General features: G+C 43.6%; 1 pseudogene, besides 2 other annotated features; it reads right to left on the bottom strand.

The window, feature by feature from the left end:
• Positions 2,592-2,741: an enhancer, noted in NCBI's record as "active region_6179". NCBI's record gives its function as "activates an Ori minimal core promoter by ATAC-STARR-seq in GM12878 lymphoblastoid cells {active_cell/tissue: GM12878}" and the evidence as "EXISTENCE:reporter gene assay evidence [ECO:0000049][PMID:35858748]".
• On the bottom strand, positions 11,583-11,892 carry RPLP2P4 (ribosomal protein lateral stalk subunit P2 pseudogene 4; annotated as a pseudogene).
• Positions 13,631-13,730: a silencer, noted in NCBI's record as "silent region_4331". NCBI's record gives its function as "represses an Ori minimal core promoter by ATAC-STARR-seq in GM12878 lymphoblastoid cells {active_cell/tissue: GM12878}" and the evidence as "EXISTENCE:reporter gene assay evidence [ECO:0000049][PMID:35858748]".

Here is a 22,272-nt window from a genome sequence, read left to right as displayed (position 1 = left end):
ATAGACTAAGAATATTTAAGGGTTTAGGGAGGGAGAGCTTATCGCAGATTTGGAATATTTCTGGGTGGAGGAGAGTTTTATTGTGGGGTTGGCATGTTTCTGGTCGGAGGGGGATTTATCTTGGGGTTGGAACATTTCCGGTTGGAGGTGTCATTTAATGGTCATGCTGACATTGGCCATTAGGGTGATGTTTCTGGGGCTGGATTAGGCGTTTTTTAATCAAGGGCAACTTAAAATGGCAGTGTTTGTCCAAGATGGTGATGCTCTTGCTCTGTCAATCCAGATCCTATAGTTATAGAAGGACAAGGGGCGGTGTGTTCTTTCTGGCTACTTCCTGCTAAGGGGAGGAGTGCGGAGAGTTCTTTGATCTCAGATTGACTGTAGGACTAATGCTGTCTGTAGATGTTTTTGGGTAGTTGTCTGTGAAATGGCCATGATCCTGTCAGTTAAAAATCTTTGAAAAAGGTTAATTAGGCAGGGTAAAAACATTAGTCCTAGGCACATCATTAGGAGAGGGCCCAGGAATGGGATGACCCATGTTGTGATTTTGTTCCAAAACCAACAATCTATTTGGTTGTTTTGGTATTCCCTTAGTCTTTTAGCCCTTTCTGTAAGTTTTTCAGCAGCATCTCTTACTAGGCTTGATTGGTTGAGGTATAGGCAACATTCCTCATCCAACGAGAGGCAGAGGCCATTTAAGATCTCCTTTTTCAGCCATTATAAGATCTAGTCCCCCTCTATTTTGGAGGATTACTCCAGCCAAGCAGTCTAGTTGGTCTTGGACTCTTATAAGACTTTGGGCTGTATCTTCTAAAGAACGCTGTAGTTCTGTTGAAAGAGCTTTAAAGTATGTTAAGGAGGTGGCCAATCTGCCTGCTCCCAATCTAAGTCCGGCGGTTATACCCAAGGTGGCCATCAAGGGAATGACATGGAAAGCCCTCCTCTTCCTAACATATTGGGCAGATGGAATGGGCAAAGGTTGACTAGGAGGAATTAGTCCAATGCAGGGAGAAAGATAAACTAGAGTACATGTTCTGGTACAGTTGGTGGGGAGACAAAGATATGTACTGGTTCCATATAAAAATAATAAGACTTGGCTGGGTGCGGTGGCTCACACCTGTAATCCCAGTACGTTGGGAGGCTGAGGCAGGCAGATCATGAAGTCAAGAGATCAAGACCGTCCTGGCCAACACGGTGAAACCCCGTCTCTACTAAAAATACAAAAAAAAAAAAAAAATAGCCGGGCTTGGTGGCACACGCTTGTAGTCCCAGCTATTCGGGAGGCTGAGGCAGGAGAATCACTTGAACCCAGGAGGTGGAGGTTGCAGTGAGCCAAAATTGTGCCACTGCACTCCAGCCTGGGCAACAGAGTGAGACTTTGTCTCAAAAAAAAAAATAAAATAAAATAAAAAATAAGCCTTGTTGTAAATATAGGCAGAGATATGGAAAGAAAGCAAGTGAATTAAGGCTGAAGTGTCTTTTCTTTCCTGTGGTTCATTACTCCAGATGGACAAGGAGGAGGCCAGAGAGACATCCACTATAGTAGAGATATAGGAAGAGTTATTCTTTATACATTTAATACAATCAGATGTTGCACCATTGATATTGAGCCATGAATAAAGCGGGCACTAGGGACAGCACAAATTAGGTCAGAGGCATCGGTTGAGGGAGAGGCTGTAAAACGAGCCAGTTGTGGAAATGCCCCATTTGCATCAGGTGATATGTGATAGTCAACTCGGTTAGTGTGATGGTCAGAGGGGTGTTTAACAATGATAGTGCATTGGTTAGGTGTTAAGGACCCTACAGGGAAATTTCCCTCACAGGCTGAAAAGCAAAGTGAGGCTTGTTGTAAAAGGGCGGTGTGTTTAGTTATGGGCCCTTCAATGGGAGGGCCTTGGGGCTTGAGGCATTGTAGGGAGTTGTAATAGGTTTGAAATGATTTGTTGGCTTGATTGGCCCTGGAAGGGGCATAATCACCTACCAGGGCGTCAGCTCTTTCAAAAAAGGAAGCTCCTTTTTGGAGTTTATAGATTATGGTTATGTTTCCTGTTAAAAGGTCATGAAAGGGTGTAGGAAGGGCTGTATAGGCTGAGGAAGACAGTGATAAGCACATCCAGGATTCTGGAGCAAAGGAAGAGTTAGCTTGCAGCATGAGGGATTGTGTAAGGTTTATAGAGCATTCCAGTTTGAGAGCAGTGAGGAGTGGTTGTATTGGTAAGGTTGATGTGATTACAGAATTTATATTGAAAGAAACAAGCAAAAGGAGAAAAAGGTTATTTGAGTAGGAGTAAAGTCCTGGAAAATTCCTTGAAGCCGTAAGTCCCATAGAATAGTAAGGAGCTGATCAGGATGGATAATGGGAGTTTCATAATGGTACCAATAAAGGTCTGTAACAAGATTGGTTGGGAAGCAATGAAAGTTTGAGAGAGAAAGAGACATAGCAGCTTATGTAAATTTCTCTTCCTTTTCCTCCAGGATTTGGTGAGGCGAAGGGAAGTGGGTCCTGTGGAGACACAAGAGAAGGCTGAAGGGGGTTTTGATTTGGTTGTTTTGGTATGTAGTGAAGTCTGTTGTCTTGAGAGATGTATAATGAAACCAGCTGGGGAGTCCCTGGGGTTTTGCTCCTGTGGTGTTGCAGGAATCAAGGGACAGAAGAGACCAATGGGTGGGACAGGAGGATTTATTAGGTGTGTACCAGCCCAGAGGATTAACATCCAAAGGCTGAGCCCCGAACAAAGACAGGGCTTGACTTTTATACATGCATCCAAAAGGGGGTTGGCTATACATGCATCCAAAAAGGGGCTCACCAGTTTGATGGTGCAAAACCTGTAGGGCGGGCAAGCAGGCTTACAGAAGCAGAACAAAGGCAGTTTGTGAAACAGTGACAGATTGTGCAACTTAAACATATCTTGTGACCTTATACAGAAGGAAAAACAGGAACTTACAAAACTTTGCAAAATAATTATGAGAATGGTAAGGGGGGAAGGGGAAGCTGAAAGAGGAGAAAAACTTGTTTTTCTCACCCCTGCTCCAAGATGGGAGGGAGAGGCTCTGGGGCTCATCCCTTGAGGGCCCTGGCTCTGCAGACAGGGCTATCAAAGCCCTGCCAGAGCCCTGCCTATCGCTGAGCCTCAAAGTGAGTTAGCCTAGTACAAGAAACTTTTTTTTTCCTGCTTAAGTGGGTGTAGTAAAGATGATCTGGTAAGACCCATTCCATTTAAGTGTGAGGGGAGGATTGAGGAGAGGACTGGGATCTTTTACCAGAACCCAGTCTCCTGGCTGTAGGAAGTGATTAGAGAAGTCGGCGATGGGTCGTGTCAGGTATTCGTCAGCATATTCCCAAATGAAATGGCAGATGGTATGTAGAAGTGGGGAAATGAGGCCAGGCACGGTGGCTCACACCTGTAATCCCAGCACTTTGGGAGGCTGAGGCGGGTGGATCACGAGGTCAGGAGTTCGAGACCAGCCTGGTCAATGTGGTGAAACCCCGTCTCTACTAAAAATACAAAAATTAGCCGAGCGTGATGGCATGCACCTGTAATTCCATCTACTTGGGAGGCTGAGGCAGGAGAATTGCTTGAACCTGGGAGGCAGAGGTCACAGTGAGCCAAGATCTTGCCGCTGCACTCCAGCCTGGGTCTCAAAAAAAAAACAGTAACAAAAAAGGTTTTAAAATTAGCTGGTTGCAGTGGTGTTTGCCTGTAGTCCTAGCTACTCAGGAGGCTGACGTGGGAGGATCATTTGAGCCCAGGAGTTCAAGGCTGCCGTAAGCTATGATCATGCCGCTGCACTCCAGCCTGGGTAACAGTGAGACCCCTGTTTCTGAAAAAGAAACAGAAAAACAAACCCCAAACAGCCAGTCTCTGTAACTGTGAGAAATAAATTTCTGTTATTTAAGTACTCAGCCTATGATATATTTGTTACAGCAGCCTAAACTGACTGAGACAACTACTAAGGCATTTAGTTTATTTACCTTTAATGAAATTAGTCTCAAAAAATCTATTGCCCTAGTTTATACTATCTTTCACTTCCTATTCTTTTTCTTTTGAGAGAGAGTCTCGCTCTGTCACCTAGGCTGGAGGGCAATGGTGTGATCTCGGCTCACTGCAACCTCCGCCTTCCGGGCTCAAGTGATCCTTTTGCCTCAGTCTCCTGAGTAGCTGGGATTACAGGCGTGTACCACCATCCCCAGCTAATTTTTATATTTTTAGTAGAGACGGGATTTTGCCATGTTGGCCAGGCTGGTCTCAAACGCCTATCCTCAAGTGATCTGCCAGCCTTGGCTTCCCAAAGTGCTTGGATTACAGGCATGAGCCACCATGCCTGGCCTTCCTATTTTTTTTTTTTGACTCTTTTTTGGTATTAATTATATTCTTCCTTGCTAGTTTGGAAGTTAAATACTCTATTCAGGTTTGAGATGCTTTTTTTGCCTTTTGTTTTTTGGGTTGATTTTTTTTGGTTGTTACCCTATAAGCTGCATTGTGATTACTTAAATTACAAAGTTAATCTATTTCTTTATCTCCTCCAGAACACAGACCTGTCATATGTTTTAATATTATCTTTTTTCTTTCAAATTTAACTATTACTAAACATTATCATTGTTTTATAGTTAATATTTTATACTTACCCAAAGTCTTTTTTACATGTTGTTTCTTCTTGTAGCTTCATTTAGGATCAATTTCCTTCTAGCTAAAATATATACTTTAGATTTTTCCTATAGGGAGAGTTTGCTGGCGAAAGAGTGAGTTTTATTTGTCTGAAACAATTTTATTTTGTCTTCATTAAAACAAATTTTAGGGCCGGGAGAGGTGGCTCACGCCTGTAATCCCAGCACTTTGGGAGGCCAAGTCGGGCAGATCACAAGGTCGGGAATTCGAGACCAGCATGGTGAACATGGTGAAACCCCGTCTCTATAAAAAATACAAAAATTACCTGGGCATCATGGCACATGCCTGTAATCCCAGCTACTCGGGAGGCTGAGGCAAGAGAATCACTTGAACCTGGGAGGCAGAGGTGGCAGTGAGCTGAGATTGAGCTCAAAAAAAAAAAAATTTAATTGGGTTTAGAATTCCAAATTTTCAGTTGCTTTTCCTCAGCAATTTGAAGATAACATTTCACTATCTTCCAGCTTACATTGTCTTTAAGCCAGCTGTCACTAACTCAGCTTCTTTTGAGATGATCTCCTTGCTGGCGCAGTAGCTCACACCTATAATCCCAGCACTTTGGGAGGCCAAGGTGGGTGGATCACCTGAGGTCAGGAGTTCGAGACCAGCCTGGCCAACATGGTGAAACCCCGTCTCTACTAAAAATACAAAAAAAAAAGTAGCTGGACATGGTGGTGGGTGCCTGTAATCCCAGCTACTTGGGAGGCTGAGGCAGGGAGAATCGCTGGAACCCGGTAGGCGGAGGTTGCAGTGAGCCGAGATCGAGCCATTGCATTCCAGCCTGGGTGAAAGAACAAGACTCTGTCTCAAAAAGAAAAAAGAAGATAATCTCCTTTCTCTCCTGCTGTTTTATAATCATTCTTTGTCATTGTTGTTCTGAAATTTCACCATTTTATGTCTGTGTGTGGGTTTCTTTTCTATGTACATAGACATACCTATGTACATAGACTGAAACTTATGCACATAGGTTTATTAAGATATATTCATAGGTTATAAACATATATACATAGGTTGTAAACATATAAACATAGCCTAAAAAAAATATAAAGCAAAAACATCACAAGAAGAAACAAGCTGGGTATGGTGGCTCATGCCTGTAATCCCAACAATTTGGGAGGCCGAGGTGGGCAGATCACCTGAGATCGGGAGTTTGAGACCAGCCTGACCAACATGGAGAAACCCCATCTCTACTAAAAATACAAAATTAGCCGGGCATGGTGACGGATGCCTGTAATCCCAGCTACTCAAGAGGTTAAGGCAGGAGAATCACTTGAACCTGGGAGGTGGAGGTTGTGGTGAGCCGAGATTGCGTCACTGCACTCCAGCCTGGCAACAGAGTGAGACTCTATCTCCAAAAAAAAAAAAAAGAAGAAACAGACAAATTTATATTCAATCATATTGGAGGATTTGAAAATTAATAATTGACAGAAAATGTTCATCGAGTAGATTTGATAAACATGATTACATATTTACTATGGTAGAAGCATAGAACGCTATACTAACAACTGCAAAAATCACATTCTTTTTAAGCACGCAAAATTTTTATTAATTGAAGACAGATTGTCTGTAAATCAAATCTCAAGAAAATTGACAGAATTAAAATGAGGACATTCTCTGACCATAGGCACATGTCAGAGATATTATAGGTTCAGTTCCAGATCATTGCAATAAAACAAACATCACAGTAAAGTAAGTCACACAATTTTTTTTGGTTTCCTAGTACATAAAGTTATTTTTAAACTATAATGTAGTCTATTTAGTATGCAATGGCATTATGTCTAAAAATATACCTTATTTTAAAAATAGTTTATCAGTAAAAAATGCTGACACAACGACACAAAAGTGAGCACATGCTGTTGGAAAAATGGCACTGATATACTTGCTCAACACAAGGTTGCCGCAAACCTTCGATTTGTAACAAAAATACAATCTAGAAAGCATGATAAAATGAAGTGCAATAAAATAAGGTATGCCTATGTATAATGCTATTAAGCTACAAATAAACAATAAAAAAAGCTAAAAAATTTCCTTTATGTGCTAGGAAATAAGAAAGACACAAATTAAACATTTTGAATGTAATAAACAGTATTACAGATGACGGCCGGGCACGGTGGCTCACGCCTGTAATCCCAGCACTTTGCGAGGCCGAGGCGGGCGGATCACGAGGTCAGGAGATCGAGACCATACTGGCTAACAAGGAGAAACTCCGTCTCTACTAAAAGTACAAAAAATTAGCCGGGCGTGGGGGCGGGCGCCTGTAGTCCCAGCTACTCGGGAGGCTGAGGCAGGAGAATGGCGTGAACCCGGGAGGCGGAGCTTGCAGTGAGCCGAGATGGCACCACTGCACTCCAGCCTGGGCGACAGAGCGAGACTCTGTCTCAAAAAAAAAAAAAAAGTATTACAGATGACAACTGTGGGATGCAGCTACGTAGTGTGTAGAAAGAAATGTATAAACTTGGCCGGGCGCAGTGGCTCATGCCCGTAATCCCAACATTCTGGGAGGCTGAGGAGGGCGGATCACCTGAGGTCAGGAGTTTCAGACCAGCCTAGGCAACATGGCGAAACCCTGTCTCTACTAAAAAATGCAAAAAATGGCTCGGTGTGGTGGCAGGTGCCTGTAATCCCAGCTGCTCGGGAGGCTGAGGCAGGAGAATCACTTGAACCCAGGAGGCGGAGGTTGCAGTGAGCCGAGATAGCCCCACTGCACTCCAGCCTGGGCGACAGAGCGAGACTCGGTCTCAAACAAAAACAAAAACAAACAAACAAAAAATAAATGTATAAACTTAAAAGACTTATATTAGTAAGTAATCATTTATAATAAGTCAGAAAAACAGAAAATAAATCCAAAGTAAAAGGAACAAAGCAGTTATTTTAAAAGACTACACAAAATTTGGCAAGAATGATCAACAACAAGAGAGAAATGTGAACATACATTTTACCAAATAAGTTATGTGAATGGCAAAAAACCAACATGAAATGATGCTCCACATCACTTGGTCATTGGGGAAATGTGAATTAAAACCATGAGGAAATATACTTCACACCCCCCCAAATACCACCTGTACCGCAATAACTTATGGAAATATAATAATAAGAAAATAAAAACTATACTTCACACCCACTAAAATGACTCAAATTAAAAAGACTAACAATATCAGGCGTGGAAGAGAATTTGGAGCATCAGGAACATTGCCGGTAAGAATGAAAATGGTATGTTCCTTAGTCCATTTTCTGATGCTATCATAGAATACCCTAGACTGGGTAAATTATAATAAAACAAAATTTCTTTCTTTCTTTTTTTTTTTTTGAGACAGAGTCTCGCTCTGTCGCCCAGGCTGGAGTGCAGTGGCGCCATCTCGGCTCACTGCAAGCTCCTCCTCCCAGGTTCACGCCATTCTCCTGCCTCAGCTTCCCGAGTAGCTGGGACTACAGGCACCTGCTACCACACCCAGCTAATTTTTTGTATTTTTAATAGAGACGGCGGTTTCACTGTGTTAGCCAGGATGGTCTCAATCTCCTGACCTCGTGATCCGCCCACCTCGGCCTCCCAAAGTGTTGGGATTACAGGCGTGAGCCACAGAGACTGGCTTTTTTTTTTTTTTTTTTAAGAAGGGGTCTCACTCTGTCACCCAGGCTGGAGTACAGCCGCGCAATCTCGGTTCACTGTAACCTCCACCTCCCGGATTAAAGGGATTCTCCTGCTTCAGCCTCCCAAGTAGCTGGGATTACAGGCACCACCACGCCCGGCTAAATTTTGTATTTTTAGTAGAGACAGGGTTTCACCATTTGGCCAGGCTGGTCTTGAACTCCTGACCTCAAGTGATCCACCCGCCTTGGTCTCCCAAAGTGCTGGGATTACCGGTGTGAGCCACCTCACCCAGACGAAATGTATTTGGTAAAGTTCTGGAAACTGGCAAGTGCTTGGATTCAAGGACAAGGAGTCACAACTGCAGGGGGCCTTCTTGCTGTGTCATAACATGTGAAGGCATCACAGGATAAGAAGAGTGCAAGGCTGGCTTTTATCACAAACCCGCTCTTGAGATAACTTATTCCCTTCCACTATAACCCCACTAATCTGTTAATTCATGAAAAGATTAATCCATTCATGAGGGCTTAAGGTCTGTCTCTTAAAATTCTCACCTCCCCTTTTTTTTTTAGAGTCAAGATTTTGCTCTGTTGCCCAGGCTGGAGTGCAGTGGCATGATCATGGCTCACTGCAGCCTTGACCTCCTGAGCTCAAGGTATCCTCCCACCTCAGCCTCCTGAGTAGCTAGGACCACAGGTGTGTGCCACCATGTCTGTCTAATTTTTAAATGTTTTGTACAGATGGGGTCTTACTACATTGACCAGGCTGGTCTTGAACTCCTGTCCTCAAGCAATCCTCTTGCGCTGGCCTCCTAAAGTTCTGGGATTACAGACGTGAGCCACCATGCCTAGCCTGGTCCCACCTCTTAATAGAGTCGCCATGGTAATTAAATTCCAACATCAGTTTTGGAGGGACACAAACCACAGTGGTATGAATACTTTGAAAAGAGTTTGGTGGTTTCTGATTATGTGAAAGACAGAGTTACCACATGACCCAGCAATCCAACTGTTACGTACTTCCCCAAAAGAAATGAAAACATGTCCACACAAAGACTTGTGTGCAACTGTTCATTGGAGTTTTTTTCATAGTATGTATCTCCCAACTGGAAACAACCAACTGGTGAATGGATACACTGTTTTACATCCATACAATGCAAAGCTACTTACCAAAAAGAGCTACTTTAGATTTTTCTGTTTGTGAGCCAAAACAAAATAGAAACACACAAACAAAAAACCTACCAATACACATCACAACATGTATGAATCTCGAAAGCATTATGCTGAAGACAGCTGGGTGTGGTGACTCACACCTGTAATCCCAGCACCTTGGGAGGCCGAGTGGGGTGGATCACTTGAGGTCAGGAGTTTGTGACCAGCCTGGCCAACATGGTGAAAGTCTGTCTTTACCGAAAATACAAAAATTAGCCAGGTGTGGTGGTGGGCGCCTGTAATCCCAGCTACTCTGGAGGCAGAGGCACGAGAATCGCTTGAACCTGGGAGGTAGAGGTTGCAGCGAGCCCAGATCACACTGGTGCACTCCAGCCTAGCAGGATTGTCTCAAAAAAAAAAAAAAAAAAAAGCATTATGCTAAATACAAGGAGCCAGACACCGAAGATTCTACGATATCATTCCACATTTATAAAATTTTAGAAAAGGCAAATATTGTATATAGTGATAGAAAGCAGACTGATGGTTAGATTAATGTGAAATATTTTGCCACATAATGCAATGGAAATAACATAAATAAAAATAAACAAAAAAGTCAGTGTCTATCATCAAGATAGCTTCTAAGGAAGCTTCTACTGATATTTACAATTTATTGTCTATATCAAAGGCTATTTTATTTGTGGCTTTTTGGAGAGGCCAGTGGAGATTACAGCTCTGCCAGATTACTTTTTTGTGAAGCAATTTGCAATCACATTCTTGTTATATGGAGAAAAATCCTTGTTCTTGAAGGGAATTCTTAAAGGGAAGGGATGGTTGCTGTCTTGCTCTTCTTCATTTTTCCTGCAGATATCTAATGTATATTCACTTGAAGTAAGTCTTATTTGGGGAGTGTAGCAATATGTCAAGGCACTTAACATTGTGTCAAGGGTCACAGTGCCAAGCACCATGTCAAGGCAGAGGGAAGATGATTGATGATGTATCCTGAAGAATACTGCAGTCAAAGCTTGGAGAATGAGTTGAGTGCTGTGGAAACCCTGATGACAGGGACTACAATGAGGAAGAAGACCCAGAGCAGCGAAAGCTTTGGCAATCTGGCCAGGGAGACTATTGGATAACTAGGTATCCTGGATTTATGCAAAGGCTCTACAATGAGATTACTCAGTTTATAATTTGGATTAACCTGTCGTTTCTGTGGGCTCACCCAGGAATTTTCCTTACAGTATGATGTAGGGAAATGCCTTTGACCACTCCCCTATCTCTTTATCAATACCAGGGTCACACCTCTACCTAGCCTCCTTCCTTCCTTCCTTCCTTTCTTTTCTTCTTTCTTTCTCTTTCTTTTCTTTCTTCTTTCTTTTCTTTCTTCTTTCTTTTCTTCCTTTCTTCTTTTTCTTTCTTTTTCTTTCCTTCTTGCTTCCTTCCTTCCTTTGTTCTTTCCTTACTTCTTACTTCTTTTTTTTTTTTTTTTGAGACGGAGTCTTGCTGTCACCCAGGCTGGAATGCAGTGGTACCATCCAGGCTCACTGCAACCTCTGACTCCCGGGTTCAAGTGTTTTTCCTGCCTCAGCCTCCCGAGTAGTTGGGACTACAGGGGTGCACTACCATGCCCGGCTAATTTTTGTATTTTTAGTAGAGACGGGGTTTCACCATGTTACCCAGGCTGGTCTCAAACTCCTGACCTCACGTGATCAACCCGCCTTGGCCTTTCAAAGTGCTGGGATTACAAGGGTGAGACACCACGCCTGGCCCCTTTCTTCTTTTTTTTCCTTCCTGCCTCCTTTCCTCCTTCCTTCCTTCTTTCCAGAAATTAGTGTCAGTTCATCCTGTTTCTTTTTTATTGACTAGATCGGGGTCAGAAAACTGACCTGCAGCCTGTTTTTGTATGACCCATGGGCTAAGAATGGCTTTATCTTTTTAAATGGTGGATAACAAATCCCCAACATGCCTGTCTTTTGAGTTATGCCTCTCCCAGTCCGGATCAGTTGCTTTCTACATTTGCTGTTTTTGATCCTGTGATTTTCCTTCGCCATCACTTTGCGTCTCTCCTGTTTCTTCTATTCCCTTCCCTTTCCCTCCCCTCCCCTCCCCCACTCCCCTTCCTCTCCCTCCTTCCCTCCCTCCCTTCTTTCTTTCTTTCCAGGGGAATTGGCAGGGGAGCAGGAAGTCAAATCATATGTCACCATGTGACTCTTGGGACTCCTTCTTCTCATGTTTCTTCTTCTTTGTAGTAGGGGCAGGGCCAGCAGCAGGAGCTACAGAGCCGGGGCAGCAGAGGCGGCCACAGCCTTGTGGGAGAGCACAATGGCAACTTGCCAATACCCTGGGCAATGACACCTTTAATGTTTTTTCCATTCAGCTCACTGATGATCTTGCTGCACTGGTTGCCATTGGCCTTATTGCTTATATTGTACAGGATCTTCTTGACGTCCTTGGTGCTGGGCAAGGGGTTGCCCCCGAGGGCAGCCAGTAGGTAGGAAGGACGACCTTCTGTGTCCCGGAGGAAAAGAAAGCCACACCTTCCTCTTTTAGTTTGTTTCTTTTCTTATTCCTGTGTTGCTGCTGAGAAACCCAATCCAATTCCGACTCCCCCACCACCCTTTTGTGCCACCCTTCTACCCCTTCTGGAAGCCTGAGAATCTCCTGTTTGTCCTAGATATTTTACATTTCACAATCATATGCTTTAGTGCAGGACAATTTTCATCTATTATGATGGACACTTTCAATTTGGTTCTTCTATTCTGAGTGTGTTTCTTCAACTATTTCTTTTTTTTTTTTTTTTGGAGATGGAGTCTCGCCCTGTTGCCCAGGCTGGAGTGCAGCGGCCCAGTCTCAGCTCACTGCAACCTCCGCCTCCTGGGTTCAAGCGATTCTTCTGCCTCAGCCTCCCAAGTAGCTGCGACTACAGGTGCATGCCACCACACCCAGCTAATTTTTTGTATTTTAGTAGAGACATGGTTTCACTGTGTTGCCCAGGCTGGTCTTGAACTCCTGAGCTCAGGCAATCCGCCCGCCTCAGCCTCCCAAAGTGCTAGGATTTCAGGTGTGAGCCACCACGCCCAGCCTGAACTATTTCATTGTTGATTTCTTCCCCTCTGTTTTACTCTTCCTGGAAATTCTATTATTTGGCTGCTGAACTTCATAGATTTCATAAATTTTCTTACCTTTTTTCTCTCATTTCCTATCTCCTTGTCTTTTTGCCACGCTTTCTGTGTAATTTCCTCAATTTTATCTTTCAATTCTTCATTAAAATGTTCATTTCTTATCATGTCTTTAACGTCTAAAATTTCTTCTTGTTCTCTGAATGTTCCTCTTTTTACAAAATAACATCTTGTTCTTGTTTTCAGAATGCAGTATCTTTTCTTATCTTATCTTTCTCAAGACTGAGAAATGGAAAACTACAGAAACCACAACTTGAAAAACAGTACAGAGACCACAATTTGCAAGACAGATAAACTATGTCAGCAACAGCTCAGCTTGGACCCAGGTGTTCAGGAAACAAAACCACAGACTTTTTCACAGACAGCCTTGCCTAGCCTATCGACACAGTCAGTGACTCAACTTTGCAACTTTTGACCAATTCTTTCCTGCCCTAACTCTACCCTTCCTTCCTGCCCCTCCCCCAACTCTTGTTATCCCCGCCCTAAAAGCATCCTTTGGCTAACGCCTCCTCAGTGAAACTGTATAAAACTCAAATGTTAAAGCTACTCGGCGTCCATTTGACTGACTCCATTTGCTCACTATCTCCCTTGCCTGGCACATTTCTAATAAACTAAGCTTCCTTAGTTATTGTTATTTGTTATTTGTTTGTTCTATGTTTTAACCATAACAGATTTCTTTGCTGCTCTTTTATGAGAAACTTTCTTTTTTTTTGAGACAGAGTCTCACTCCGACGGGGTTTCACCATGTTGGCCAGGCTGATCTCAAACTCCTGACCTCAAGTGATCCGCCCGCCTCAGCCTCCTAAAGTGCTAGGATTACAGGTGTAAGCCACCGGGCCTGGTCTTTTATTTATTTATTTTTTTGAGATGGAGTCTCGCTCTGTCACCCAGGCTGGAATGCAGTGGCGCTCTCGGCTCACTGTAACCTGCACCCCCTGAGTTCAAGTGATTCTCCTGCCTCAGCCTCCTGAGTAGCTGGGACTACAGGCGACCGCCACCATGCCCAGCTAATTTTTGTATTTTCAGTAGAGATGGGGTTTTACCATGTTAGCCAGGATGGTCTCGATCTCTTGACCTTGTGATACACCTCCCTCGGCCTCCCAAAGTGAGTGAGGGAGCCACCGCGCCCAACCGGCACCTGGTCTTTTATGAGAAGCTTTGACTGAACATGAGTTAGTTTTCTTTCATCCACATAGTATTCTGTTTCTCCAAGGTGCTTTCCCTGCTTGTGTGCTTTTTGTCTTGCATGATAGAGGCTTACTTTAGAGTTCTGGTAATTTTTGGTTTCTTACGATGAGGAATGAAGGACTACAGCTGATTGGAAGTTTGCAGTATATGGAGAGCTCTTGTATTTCTGAGTTTACTGTAGGGCCATTTATTTGTTGGGTAATCTTATCAGTTTCTCTTCTTTCCTCTTGGGCTGCTTTGATTCCTGAGAGAAAGGTGTGACAATCCCCTTCCTAGAGGGTAAAGATCTGGCTGACATGGTTTGGGCACTAAATGATTGATGAAGGCTGTGAGGCAGGAGGCAGGGGCTTAGCAATCAGCAAGCATGTGATTGTGTAAACCTCCATTTTTGTTTGGTATCAAAGCTCTCAGCTGTACTTGATGTTTCCCAGTCCACAGACTCCAACTTCTGCTGAAACTAGGGAGAAACAGTCATCCAGCAGCATGAGAGCAGGTAGAAGATCTGGGTCTGTTTGTGATTCTACAATATAATCATTTCTGTTTTCAATTTTTCTCTACTGTTGCCACATAATTCAGCTTTCTCAGTTCTTCTGAGTTAGTCTGCAATCATCTCTTTGCTTTTTAGCTTTCAAAGGTTTATCATCGGCCAGGTGCAGTGTGGCTCATGCCTGTAATCCCAGCATTCGGGAGGCTGAGGCAGGCAGATCACCTGAGGTCAGGAGTTCGAGACCATCCTGGCCAACATGGTGAAACCCCGTCTCTACTAAAAATACAATAATTAGCCATGTGTGGTGGCATGCGCCTGTAGTCCCAGTTACTGCAGAGGCTGAGGCAGGAGAATGGCTAGAACCCAGGAGGTGGAGGTTGCAGTGAGCCAAGCTTGTGCCACTGCAATCCAGCCTGGTGACAGAGTGAGACTCTATCTCAAAAAAAAAAAAAAAAAAAAAAAAAAAGAAAAAAGAAATGTGAAGACAGGAGATTTGAGAGGGGCCAGGGGCAGAATTATAGGGTTTGGCTGTGGCTGCACCCAAATCTCATCTTGAATTTTAGTTCCCATAGTCCCCACATGTTGTGTAAGGGACCCGGTGGGATGTAATTGAATCATGGTGGCAGTTTCTCCCATGCTATTGTTGTGATAGTAAGTTCTCACGAGATTTGATAGTTTTATAAGGAGCTTGCTGCTTCACTTGACCCTCATTCTCCTTCCTGCTGCCCTGTGAAGAAGAACATGTTTGCTTCCCTTTCCACCATGATCATCAGTTTCCTAAGGCCTCCTCAGCCATGCTGAACTGTGAGTCAGTTAAACTTCTTTCCTTTCTAAATTACCCAGTCTTGGATGTGTTCTTAGTATGAGAGTAGTATGAGAAAGGACTAATACAAGCTATTTCAATAAGCCATAAAAAGCAGTAAAAAGGCCAGACAGGGCCAGGCACGGTGGCTCATGCCTGTAATCTCAGTGCTTTGGGAGGCTGGAGGCAGGTGGACCACCTGAGGTCAGGAGTTCAAGACCAGCCTGGGCAAAATGGTGAAATGCCATCTCTACTAAAAATACAAAAAATTAACCAGATGTGGTGGCAGGCATCTGTAGTCCCAGCTACCTGGGAGGCTGAGGCAGGAGAATTGCTTGAACCCAGGAGGCAGAGGTTGCAGTGAGCTGAGATCGCGCCACTACACTCCAGCCTAGGTAACAGAGCAAGATTCTGTCTCAAAACAAAACAAAACAAAAAATGGGTCAGGCACAAAGGCTCATGCCTGTAATCCCAACACTTTGTGAGGCTGAGGTGGGAGGATCACTTGAGTCCCAGTATTTAAGACCAGCCTGGGCAACATAATGAGACGCATCTCTATTTATATAATCAAAAAAGAAAAAAGAAAAAAAAGGCAATATTCCTTTAACAGTGTGAGTGTCTCAATGAAATGGAATGGAAATCAGGTATTTCCATTCCCCTAGAGTTGTTTTTTTTTTTTTTTTCTCCCTCTGTTGCCCAGGCTGGAGTGCAGCGGCTCGATCTCTGCTCACTGCAACTTCTGCCTCCCGGGTTCAAGCGATTCTCCTGCCTCAGCCTCCTGAGTAGCTGGGATTACAAGTGCGTGCCACCACGCCTGGCTAATTTTTTGTATTTTTAGTAGAGATGGGGTTTCACCATCTTATCCAGGATGGTCTCTATCTCCTGACCTCGTGATCCGTCCACCTCGGCCTCCCAAAGTGCTGGGATTACAGGCATGAGCCACTGCGCGTGGCCGAGCATCTCTTATTTTCTCCACCCACAGGTAAAGAATACTTTCACCAATATTCTGAATTGTATTTTCTCAAGCCCATTTGATAAATCTGCACATTCTTGTCCTTTAAGCCAAGAGTCTTACCTACTAATAAGTAGGTGGAGCTGTACCTGTATATTAATTCAGTAGCATCACCTATGAGCAAAGTGTCCATTTGGGGTAATCAATATCATCACTAATTCTAATACAAAATGTTTTGGCATAGTCATCAATGACACGTAATTCCTCAAAATAAGTGGCTGTCATTGCTTCAGTCTCTTCATTCTGCCTCTGGTAGCTCCTTGCGCTCCCTTCAGCCATGTGGCCCCTAGAGCAGCCCTGGGGCTGGTGCTGAGGTCCAGAAGCGCAGGGTGGAATTTTTAGTTTCCAAATATTTTTTATCTGTGGTTGGTTGAATCCCCAGATGTGGAACCCACAAATACAGAGGGCCAACTGCGTGTGTGTGTGTGTGTGTGTGTGTGTGTGTGTGTGTACATGTTGAATGTTGGTGTTTATACCTTATGTTCATTTTTTAGAACTGTCTTTTTTTTGAGACAGGGTCTTGCTGTGTTGCCCAGGCTGGAGTGCAGTGGTACTATCATACTCACTGCAATCTCAAATTCATGGGCTCAAGTGCTCCTCCTGCCTGCCTCAACCTCCCAAGTAGCTGAGAATACAAGTGCTTGCCACCACACCCAGCTAATTTTAATTTTTTTTGTAGCAATTGGGTCTCACTATATTGCCCAGGCTGGTCTTGAACTCCTGGCCTCAAGTGATCCTCCCACCTCAGGCTCCCAAAGTGCTGAGATTGCAAGCATGAGCCACCACACCCAGCCTGATGTTTGGTGTTTTCATTGTATTAGTCCATTCTTGCACTACTATAAAGAAATACCTGAAACTGGGTAATTTTTCTTTTTTTTTTTTTTTGAAACGGAGTTTTGCTCTTGTTGACCAGGCTGGAGTGCAGTGGCACGATCTTGGCTCACCACAACCTCTGCCTCCAGAGTTCAAACAATTCTCCTGCCTCAGCATCCCAAGTAGCTGGGATTACAGGCATGCGCCACTATGCCTGGCTAATTTTGTATTTTTAGTAGAGACGGGGTTTTTCCATGTTGGTCAGGCTGGCCTTGAACTCCTGACCTCAGGTGATCCACCCACCTCAGCTTCCCAAAGTTCTGGGATTACAGGTGTGTGCCACTGGAAACTGGGTAATTTTTAAATAAAAGAGGCTTAATTGGCTCACGGTTCCACAGGCTGTACAGGAAGCATGCTGGGGAGGCCTCAGGAAACTTTCAATCATGGTGAAAGACAAAAGAGAAGCAGGCACGTCTTACAGGGCCAGAGCACGAGGAATAGAGAGAGTGGGGAGGTGCTACACACTTTTAAACAACCAGATCTCCTGATAATCCACTCACTATCACGAGAACAGCACCAAAGGGGAAATTTGCGTACAAGATCCAATCATTTCCCACCAGACCCCGCCTCCAACATTGGGGATTACAATTTGTCATGAGATTTGGGCAGGGACACAGACCCAACCATATCATTCATTATCACTCAATTTAAGTATGTCTTAAAATTTAAAAAAAAATTTTTTTTGTCTTATAACTGATGAAGTGGCAAATATTTCTTAATTTTTCTCATGACATCTGCTTGGTCCCAGGAGTTACTTAATGGTGCACTTTTAAGTTTCCAAGTAAATTTTAAGTAATCTTTTTTTTTTTTTTTTTGAGACAGAGTTTTGCTCTTGTTGCCCAGGCTGGAGTGTAGTGGCATGATCTCGGCTCACTGCAACCTCCGCCTTCTGATTTCAAGAGATTCTCCTGCCTCAGCCTCCCGAGTAGCTGGGATTACAGATGCCCACCACCACGCTTGGTTAATTTTTGTATTTTTAGTAGAGACGGGGTTTCACCATGTTGGTCAGGCTGGTCTCGAACTCCTGACCTTGTGATCCACCCACCTCGGCCTCACAAAGTGCTGGGATTACAGGCGTGAGCCACCACACCCAGCCAATTTTAAGTAATCTTTAACTTTAAAATTTTAATTGCCAGAAGGTCAGAGACTGTGGCCAGTAGAATATTCTGATTAGTAGATATTTTTTCCCTCCATTTTAACTCTAATGCCCTTTCCTTGAGCTAAAGCTTTTCTTCTTAACTCTGTCTTCCTCTAGAATAAGGGAAGACATTTTCGGGAGGTTCTTATTTTCCTCTGACCCCTGGCCACTAGTCCAACTAGTGCAACACATACCTGAATCTTAGAGTAAGTGGAGCACAGGATTAAACTGCAACTCGTGCCACACATGTCATTTTTAGCCCTCTCCACAGTGCATTGCACGTAGGACTAGTAGATAGCATTTCTTGAAGGCTCACCATGTGCTGGGCATTGTACTGAGAATATTGTATACAGTATCTCATTTAATCATCACAACACCTTTATTTTCTGCCATTTTGTGCACGAGGAAATGGAGGGAATGAGAAATTGAGTAACTTTCCCCAAGGCACACAGCTTAAGGTGATAACACCAAGAGAAGTGCCTAGTGTTTGTCTGACCACAGAGCCCACGCTATGTGAGCACTCACATGAGATGTGCTGAACAAATCTTATTTTGTCATTTGCTGAAATAAGATTTGTTCAGCAAATGAACACATTCAGTGAATCTGTTCAGTAGTTCACGGCCAAAATGGAATTCGTTGCCACTGGGTTATGCATCCACATAATCCTCTGTTATCACTTTATATAGTACACTCAACACTTGGGGAAAATCCTCAGGAATTTGGAATTATCTTCCTTTTGGACTGTTTTCAAACTATCTCTGAAACAAGAATGTGAAGAAATACAAGGCTGGTAAATTATTAAAGCTGCTACCTGTCTCTTAATGTCAGTGGTTTTCATGTTACATGTCTTTCTGACAAACCAATAGACACCTAACCACATCCTTGTTCTTAATGCTTCCTGTTAATGCTGTTAAAGCTCAGGAAATTGTGAACTTTCTAAATTACTTAAGATAATTTGCAATCATCCTCAAAAATCACTTTTTGTTGCTTCATCTTGTTGCATAACTTTGCTTTATCCTCACGATAGATCCCATTTTCCACAATTAATTACTTATATATTTTAAATTTGTGTTGTATATGTTCATACAAACAAAAATAAAACAAATTGAATACATATGGAGTACACTTTATTATTTATTTATTTTACTTATTTATTTATTTATTTTTTTCAAGAGGGAGTCTTGCTCTGTCACCCAGGCTGGAGTTCAGTGTCACAATCTCTGCTCACTGCAAACTCCGCCTCCCGGTTTCAAGTAATTTTCCCACCTCAGCCTCCTGAGTAGCTGGGATTACAGGTGTGCACCACCATGCCCGGCTAATTTTTGTATTTTTACTAGAGACCAGGTTTTGCTGTGTTGGCCGGGTTGGTCTTGAACTCCTGACCTCAGGTGATCCACCTGCCTTGGCCTTCCAAAGTGCTAGGATTACAGGTGTGAACCACCAACGCCTGGCCTTATTATTTTTAGTTTTGTGTGGTTTTTCTTTTTTAAAGTTTTCTTCTTGAATTCAATGACAACAAGCAATGTTTGAAATTATCTTTTGATTTTAAATAGCTACTGTTTCTACTTTAAAATGAAAGAAACACGATATGTACAAGTTAAAACAATAGAGCTGTTTATGATCATTTACTTTTTTATTGTGACAAAGTATATATTACATAAAATTTAACATTTTAACTTTTTTTTTTTTTTTTTGAGACAGAGTCTTGCTTTGTTGCCCACGCTGGAGTGCAGTGGCACGATCTCAGCTCTCTGCAAGCCCTGCCTCCCCGGTTCTCACCATTCTCCTGCCTCAGCCTCCCGAGTAGCTGGGACTACAGGCGCCCGCCACCACGCCCGGCTAATTTTTTTTTTTTTGAGACAGAGTCTCCCTCTGTCGCCCAGGCTGGAGTGCAGTGGCGCGATCTCAGTCACTGCAAGCTCCGCCTCCTGGGTTCACGCCATTATCCTGCCTCAGCCTCCTGAGTAGCTGGGACTACAGGCGCCCACCACCATGCCCGGCTACTTTTGTTTTTGTATTTTTAGTAGAGACGGGGTTTCACCGTGTTAGCCAGGATGGTCTCGAACTCTTGACCTCGTGATCCACCCGTCTTGGCCTCCCAAAGTGCTGGGATTACAGGCGTGAGCCACCGCGCCCAGCCAATTTTTTGTATTTTTAATAGAGACGGGGTTTCACTGTGTTAGCCAGGAAGGTCTCGATCTCCTGACCTCGTGATCCGCCCGCCTCAGCCTCCCAAAGTGCTGGGATTACAGGCGTGAGCCACCGTGCCCGGCCTTTTTTAACCGTTTTTAAGTGTAACATTCGGTGGCATTACGTACACTCACCGTTGCACAACTGTCGCCACTGAATTTCCCCCAGATTGCAGAGTTACTTTGGGAACACTATTTTGGTGATCTGAGGATTTTCAGAGGCTTTCACTTGAATGTTCTTAATATAATAGCCCTCCCTCGCTTCATCAATCAAAGAACAGTTGCTAAATATACCTTTTCCCACCGTTCATTCTGAGACTAGAGAAGTAACCACTGAATGGCTCCATCACGCCATTGGACACACTGGGAAACTGACTCTGGTCAAGGTTCCATCTATCACCTGGGTTCTGTAAACTTCTACTCTGAGTGGTGGACTATGCTGGATTTGTTGTTGTTGCGTTTGTTTCATTTCATCTTACTTTATTTTGTGTCTCCATGGATTAGCATCAGTTCAGAGCCAAAATCAATTAGCCCCCCCCTCCACCAAAAAAAATATTTACCTGTCTCCAGTTTATAGTCACACTGGGAAATGGCCCTACTTATTTCTGGGGAATGTTTTACTGAAGATCCACAAAACACACCTGTGGTCACATTGCAGTGTGCTTTCGGGCTCCAAGTCTGAACTAGCTTAGTTTGAGAAACTGGCTAAGAGTGTGTGAATTCCCACTACAGTGACTTAAACTAGGTTTCTGCCCACTAGACCTAGAATCATTGCCTGGATATGTGAAGAAGTACTTTGGGCTGCCCTTGTATTTAATTCCTACAGTCTTATGACTGATTACACGATGTTACATATCCCGAAAGTTCATACCCTGTGATCGTACACACTTCATCCCTGTGGGTTACTCTGGTAATTGTACTCACCTTGTGTTATGCAATTTGTGTTCCCCCAAAATCCGTAAGTTGAAACCCTAACCGCCAATGGGATGGTATTAGGAAGTGGGGTCTTTGGGAAATAATTAGGTATAGATGAGCTCATGAGGGTGGAGCTCCTGCTATAGGATTAGTGTCCTTAGAGAAGAGAAAGAGAAGAGCTCTCACTCTCTTTGCCATGTGAGAAGACAGCCATCTGTGAACCAGGAGGCAAGCCTTTACTGCAAACCAGCCATGCTGGCACCCTAATCTCAGGACTTCCAGTCTCCAGAACTTGAGCAATAAATGTTCGTTGTTTAAGTACCCATCTATGGTATTCTGACTGACTAAACCCAAACTGACTAAGACACCTTGTCACTGCAAGCTAAGGATTGCAACTGGCCTCTACCACTCCTGGATCCTTTATTCCAGCTGAGATCAGGAAATTCAATTCCATGGCAACATCCTTTGCCACCATCTCCTGCTGGCAAAGAACAGCTGCAACACAGTTTTATAAGAATGCTCAAGTCTCCTTACTGTTGCATCTGTAATGCCTGGGTATAGGGGACGTCCTCCAGGCTCTTCCAGGGATGACTGTCTTTCAGAGTGGCAGGGCAGGCTGTTCATAACAGATTCATGCATCATTCTTGTTTCCCTGGGCCTTTAGACTCCTTCCTCTACTTGTATACAATGTTCATAACAGCATTATTCATAATAGTCAAAAAGTGGAAACAACCCAACATGTGTTCATTGGCACCATCCTAAGGCTTAGTGTTCATCTGCCCTTTATTTAAGATGAAGAGGTTTTCCTTGCACATCCATTTATTCGCCCTGTTACCGAAATGCCAGGGGTTCTGTCTAGGTACTGCTGCTTGATCACTGAGACAATGGGTATTGCCAGGGAAGAAGGCTTTAGTTGGGTGCTGCAGCTGAGGAGATGGGAGATGAGTTCTAGATCAGTCCCAAATCCATCTCCCTGACTGATTAAAATTAAGGGTTTGTATAACAGAAAAGAAATGTAACCATTTTTGGGAAAACAAGAATTAGGGAGGGGTAAAGGGGAGGAGTTGGTCAACAAGAAGCAGGTGGTTGCTTAG

The sequence above is a fragment of the Homo sapiens genome, chromosome 12 (assembly GCF_000001405.40).
Source record: "Homo sapiens chromosome 12, GRCh38.p14 Primary Assembly".
Classification (NCBI taxonomy): Eukaryota; Metazoa; Chordata; class Mammalia; order Primates; family Hominidae; genus Homo; species Homo sapiens.
Note: the sequence above shows the minus strand (reverse complement) of the source record. Positions and strands in the feature narration are given on the sequence as shown.